We start from the raw sequence: 6000 nt of genomic DNA on the forward strand, positions 1-6000 counted from the left end.
TATCATTAACTACCTAACCCTAGGCGATTTATTTAATCTCTCTGAGCCTCCATCTCCTCATGCATAAAATGATAGTAACATCAACCTCCTGGGTGGTCATGAGGATGAAAGTAAATAACATACATAAAATATATAGCATAATTTCTAGCAAAAAGGGAGTACTCAAAACATGTAAATTCCTACATCACTTAAGGAAAAAATATCTACAAAGTGGAAGTTAGGATGCATCTTTCACTTTCTATAGATTGTGCCAATTTTTGTGCAAATGAAAACAAGTTGCATTAAGAGAGACTGACAGTGACTCTATCTACAGGTGGCCAGGTCGGTCATAAAAATAATCCTTGTATTATGGACAAAAAAACTATTTTAAAATGTGATTCAAGAAAAAAGACAGTGACCCAGAGGTGCTAAGGATACACTGGTAAGACCAAGGACAAATAAGGGACTATTTCTTGTGGTTTTAAAGTAAATATTCCTCAGCTCAGCGAGAGAGAACTAGTCCATCTGGTTAATCTAAGACTTTCCTGGAGTTGACAAGAATACAACCCTGGCTAGACAGAAGCATTAGTTAAATAAGCAAAACTTGATAACCTGTCAAGTTTTCATGAAGTCCATTCAAATCCTACAATTCCTATCCATCAGAGTTCCTGGTAGCCCTTTCCCTTGCCACCTCTTCATCAGATCCTTTCTGGCCACTGACAATAGAGGCTGAAGACTCCCAGGCAGTCTCTGCAAGTAGGTGGCCCTGGGCAACATAGGAAGACCCCATCTCTACTAAACATTTTAGAAAATTAGCCAGGCATGCTGGAGCACAGCGGCGGTCCCAGCTACTTGGGAGGCTGAGGTGGGAGAATCGCTTCAGACCAGGAGTACAAGGCTGCAGTAATCTATGATTGTGCCACTGCACTCCAGCCTGGGTGACAAGACTTTGCCTCAAAAATTTAATTTAATTTAATTTTAAATTTAAAACTCAATTCTAAACTAACATTTTCCAAATTGCATAAAAATGTATGTGCCCAAAGATGTCTGTTAAGTGTTCCCTGAAAAAAAAAAATGGATTCGTAGCCAAAGAATTATGAGAAACGATGAATTAAAGACATAGGTTTTGCTCAAAGATATTTGTTAAGTGTTCTCTGGGGGAAAAAATGGCTTCATAGTCAACGAATTTTGAGAAACAATGGATTAATACATAAGTTTTGCTCAAAGATGTTTGTTAAGCGTTTCCTGGAAAAAAAAAAAAAGGCTTCATAGTCAAAGAATTTTGAGAAACAACGGATTAAATGCGTAGGTGTTGCTCCTGTCTGCTTCCCAGAACTCTCAAGTGCTAATGGACATCTTCAACAAGGTGATACAGATGACATTGTCTGGATCTAGTTTTGATTTCTTATCACAAAAATCTTCCTTAACTATTGCAACCCAGGATGATCTATCATTTTATCATTAGTGATTGTTAGCTGTTTTGTATTGTCATTAATGATGTATGTGTATGTGTTCTGCCCAATTTGAGGTATAATTTGGCATGGTGGTTAACTTGCCCAAGTTTGTGGCTTGACTTTACCACTTAGTAGGTATCTGACCTTGGGAGAGTTTTCAAACTTTCTGTGCCTCAGTTTCTTCATCTGTAAAATGGTGATAAAAATATGACCTATTTCATAAGGGTTTTGAAGATTAAGAGTTGAGGCATGGAAAGCCCTTTGAATGATGCCTGCCACAGAGAAAGCACTAAGTATTAGCAAAAACCATTATCTTCTCCCTTCATCCCCCTCTTGACTTGACTTGTAAGCTCTTTGATAACAGGGATAACTACCCTTTTAAAAACTACTCTTGGCTGGGCACAGTGGCTCATGCCTGTAATCCAAGTACTTCGGGAGGCCGAGGCAGGTGGATCATGAGGTCAGGAGTTCAAGACCAGCCTGACCAAGATGGTGAAACCCCAACTCCACTAAAAATACAAAAATTAGCCAGGCGTGGTGGTAGGCACCTGTAATCCCAGCTACTTGGGAGGCTAAGGCAGGAGAATGGCTTGAACCCAGGAGGCAGAGGTTCCAGTGAGCTGAGACCACACCACTGCATTCTAGTCTGGGTGACAGAGCAAAACTCCGTCTCAAAAATCAAACAAAAAAACTATTCTCCATAGCGTAGCACAGGACATACTGAATAAATACGTCTTAAATGAAAGAACACATTTTTGACTGACAAATTGGAAATCATATCAGATTATGTTAACATTTAAATCCAAACAAGTAAACTCCAATTGTAACAATGAATGTCCCAATAATTTGAATGCAGATGCTGTTTTTTCAGGTCCACAGTTGCTATCTGGTAGACCTTTAGCGTTTTGAAGAACATAGTTTGGGAAAACAATAGTTTTTTCTCCTCTCAGTTTATGAGCATACTCTTCTGAGTGGTGACAGTAGAAATAATTTCTCTGAAGGACTTGATATCCAAAGATCTCTAGATTTTTCTCTATCCAACTGGAAAAGAAACCTACAGAAACACCACTAAATTGCTTCCTTTGCGGGACAAATATGAATCTATTGTAATGCACAATCCAAGAGGAGACAGAGACAAATCCCAGTGCTCATCTTTAAAAAAGAACAGGGAATGGCAGATGAGTCTCTTATTTTATCCTTGTTAAAAGCACTTCAGATTACACATAACCTACTCCTACTCTTCTTCCCAGTAAGCAATTATATGTGCATTTTTTAAGTTGTCAGCAAAGTAAGCCTAATGGACCAAAATGTATGATCAGTTTTGGGGATTATTTATTTCTTCCTTCTTCCCACTGCTATAATTTACTTTGAGCCTTTTTTTTTTTTTAACAGGAGAGTCAGACTTTACATTTCAATGAATTCATTTTCTCAGAAACATCTGTCTCAGTCCACATTTGAAAAAAAAAAACTTCTACATGAAAACAAAAGACCTATAGTGTTATAGAACAGCATAAGTGAGAATTATACTCTGTAATTATCAGTTTTCAAGTATTAACCTTACTGAGATGGAGACAACAAAAAGTTCTGATCTTTCAATACTTGAGTTATGTAACGTTCTGAAATATTTCTGAGATGCCTCTACTGACTTTAGTTATTAAAAATGTGTTATTTTAGAAATAGCTTATCAAAAAATACCTTTTGGCATCTGGAGCTTTATCTTAAACTCTAACGGGAAGCTTGAGATTTTTTTTCTCTTATCAGTGTGGGCTTTTTTGTTGTTTGAGACCGAGTCTCGTTCTGTTGCCCAGGCTGGAGTGCAGTGGTGCAATCTCGGCTCACTGCAACCTCCTCCTCCCGGGTTCAAGTGATTCCCATGCCTCAGCCTCCTGAGTAGCTGGGATTAGGATTACAGGCACATGCCACCATGCCCAGCTAATTTTTGTATTTTTAGTAGAGACGAGGTTTTACCATGTTAGCCAGGCTGGTCTCAAACTCTTGACCTCAAGTGATCCACCCTCCTCAGTCTCCTAAAGTGCTGGGATTACAGACCCGAGCCACCATGCCCAGCCTCCGTGTTTTTTTAGTAGTAGGTTTCCAGTTCTCAAGTATGATTTAGTGAATGTTCAGCCCCACCACCAACCTGCAGAAATGTCAGGCAGCCAAGCACAGGCCCTATCCCCACAGTGATTGTCTGATCACTGCACAGACTGTGAAGTCCCCAGGTACCAGTGCCAGCCTCTGAGGAGGATAAGATGAGAAGAGACTTCAACAGGGTGGGCAGGCCACAGTGCAAGGGCTGCGTGCCAGGACCTCATTCTGCTGAGAGTTGGGGTATGTACAAGTGTCATTGAGAAAGGCCTAAGATTGTGGAGGGAGGTGGGTAACCTGACTTGAATATCTAAAAGGTATGTGACATGTCAATAAAGCTTCATTTGGGCTAGCAAGCAAACCAGAAGCAATTAACTAGACATCACTGTTTCTTCTTGGTATAGTCAGAGCTAAGTGTTCTAGGAACACTTAAACATTTTTGTACATATTATTGGTAAAGGCTCTGACCAGATGTCAATGATATTGGCAAACTTTGTCCATATAAATCAGGTGACTTGTAAGAAGTGTTCACTGAGGCTTAATTTTATTTCAGAAACAACGGCATTACTGCCTAGTTTACAATTTATAGTGAGCATTAGAGCTGATGTCATATGTTCCTTGCACTGTATTGACACGTGTGAACAGCAGGCATTGGCCAGAAACAACGCTGGTGCCATCTATGTTCCATTTGCAGCAAGAGATTACTCAACTCTTACTCTAACTCAAATGAGACTGTCAACGAAGATAGGAGGCATGGAGGAGAACTGACAAGAGGAGAAAGCTTATATTGATTCCGTATCCTGTGAGGGAAAATAAGCATTTAAGGAAGAATAACCAAGATGAATCAAATTACTCACTGAGTATGAGTTTTCTAGGGCTGCCCTAACAGATTACCAGAGTGGCTTCAAATACAAAAATGTATTCTCTCACAGTTCTGGAGGCTAGAAGTCTGAAATCAAGGTATCAGCAGGTCTCTGAGCTCTCTGAAGCTACCAGGGAAGAGTCCTTCCTTCCTTCTTCTAGCTCCCAGAGCTCACCAGAAATCCATGCCGGTCCTTGAGTGGTGGCAGCATAACTCCAACCTTTGCCTCCATCATCACAGGCCTTCGTCCCCATGGGTCTGTTTTCCCTTCTTACATGGACACGAGCCAGGGACTAGGGCCCACCCTAATCCCATATGGCTTCATCTTAACTAATTACATCTGCAAAGACTATTGCCAAGTAAGGTCATATTCTGAGGTTCTGGATGGACAGCAACTATAGGGGGCAGTATTCAGCTGAGGACACCTAGACACTCCTCACTCCTCACTCACTCACCCAATGCTTTACCTCCTACAGACACTCCTCACTCACTCACCTTTACCTCCTACCCATCCCCGGTACACATACACACATACACACACACACACACACACACACACACACACACACACACAGTCCATACGCATCTGTCAGACTCTTTAACTTTTTATTTGGAGATAATTGTAGATTTAAATGTTCTCGTAAGAAATAATACAGAGTTGGAACTTGGGGGTAAGTAGTCAAAATGAAAATAAAAGAAATAGAGAAGCTGAGCACAGCTGCTGATGCCTGTAATCCCAATACTTTAGGAGGCCGAGGCAGGAGGATCACTTGAGGCTAGGAGTTTGAGACCAGCCTGGGCAACATAGCAAGACCTCATCTCTATTAAATTTTTTTTTAATTAGCTGGGTGTAGTGGCACACACCTGTAGTCCCAGCTACTTGGGAGGCTGAGATGGGAGGATCACTTGAGCCCAAAGGTTGAGGCTGCAGGGAGCTGTTTCACACCACTGCACTCCTGCCTGGGGCAAGAGAGTGAGACCCTATCTCAAAAAAAAAAAAAAAAGAAAGAAAGAAAGAAAGAAATAGAGAGATCCTGTGAACTCTTCATCCACTTTACCCAATTTTCCCCATGGTAACGTCTTGTATAACTATATTACAATAACTATATTACAACCAGGAAATCAACATTGATAAAAATCCGGTAACAATTCAGACTTCAGCAGTGTTACATGCATTTGTGTGTGTTTACATGTGTGTGTGTGTGTTTTTGTGTGTGTGTATCATATCTTGCAGATTTCACCTGATTGACAGCATTGAGATAGAGCGTTTCAGGTTTGAGATGTGGTTGTTTTTACATATTTGGAGGTAGAGTGAGGAAGTGTGGAGAAGTTTCATGGAAGGAGGAACAAAACACATCTTTGTTTCTCTCTTCCATATCTTTTCCTTACTAATTCAGATCTGGCTCAGGAAAAAAAACAACTTTTTAAAATCCCAGTGGCATCAGCCATCTGGAGATGACAGTATGATTCTTGTTCTACTTTTCAGCTTCTTCACTATTTCATCATTGATTTCCCAGATACTTTCATTCATTCATTCATTCATTCATTATTTGTGCAACAAATATACATGAAGCACCAAGTTTGTGTTAGGTGTTGGGGATGCAATGATAAATGTCT

The sequence above is a fragment of the Homo sapiens genome, chromosome 6, assembly GCF_000001405.40.
Source record: "Homo sapiens chromosome 6, GRCh38.p14 Primary Assembly".
Taxonomy (NCBI): Eukaryota; Metazoa; Chordata; class Mammalia; order Primates; family Hominidae; genus Homo; species Homo sapiens.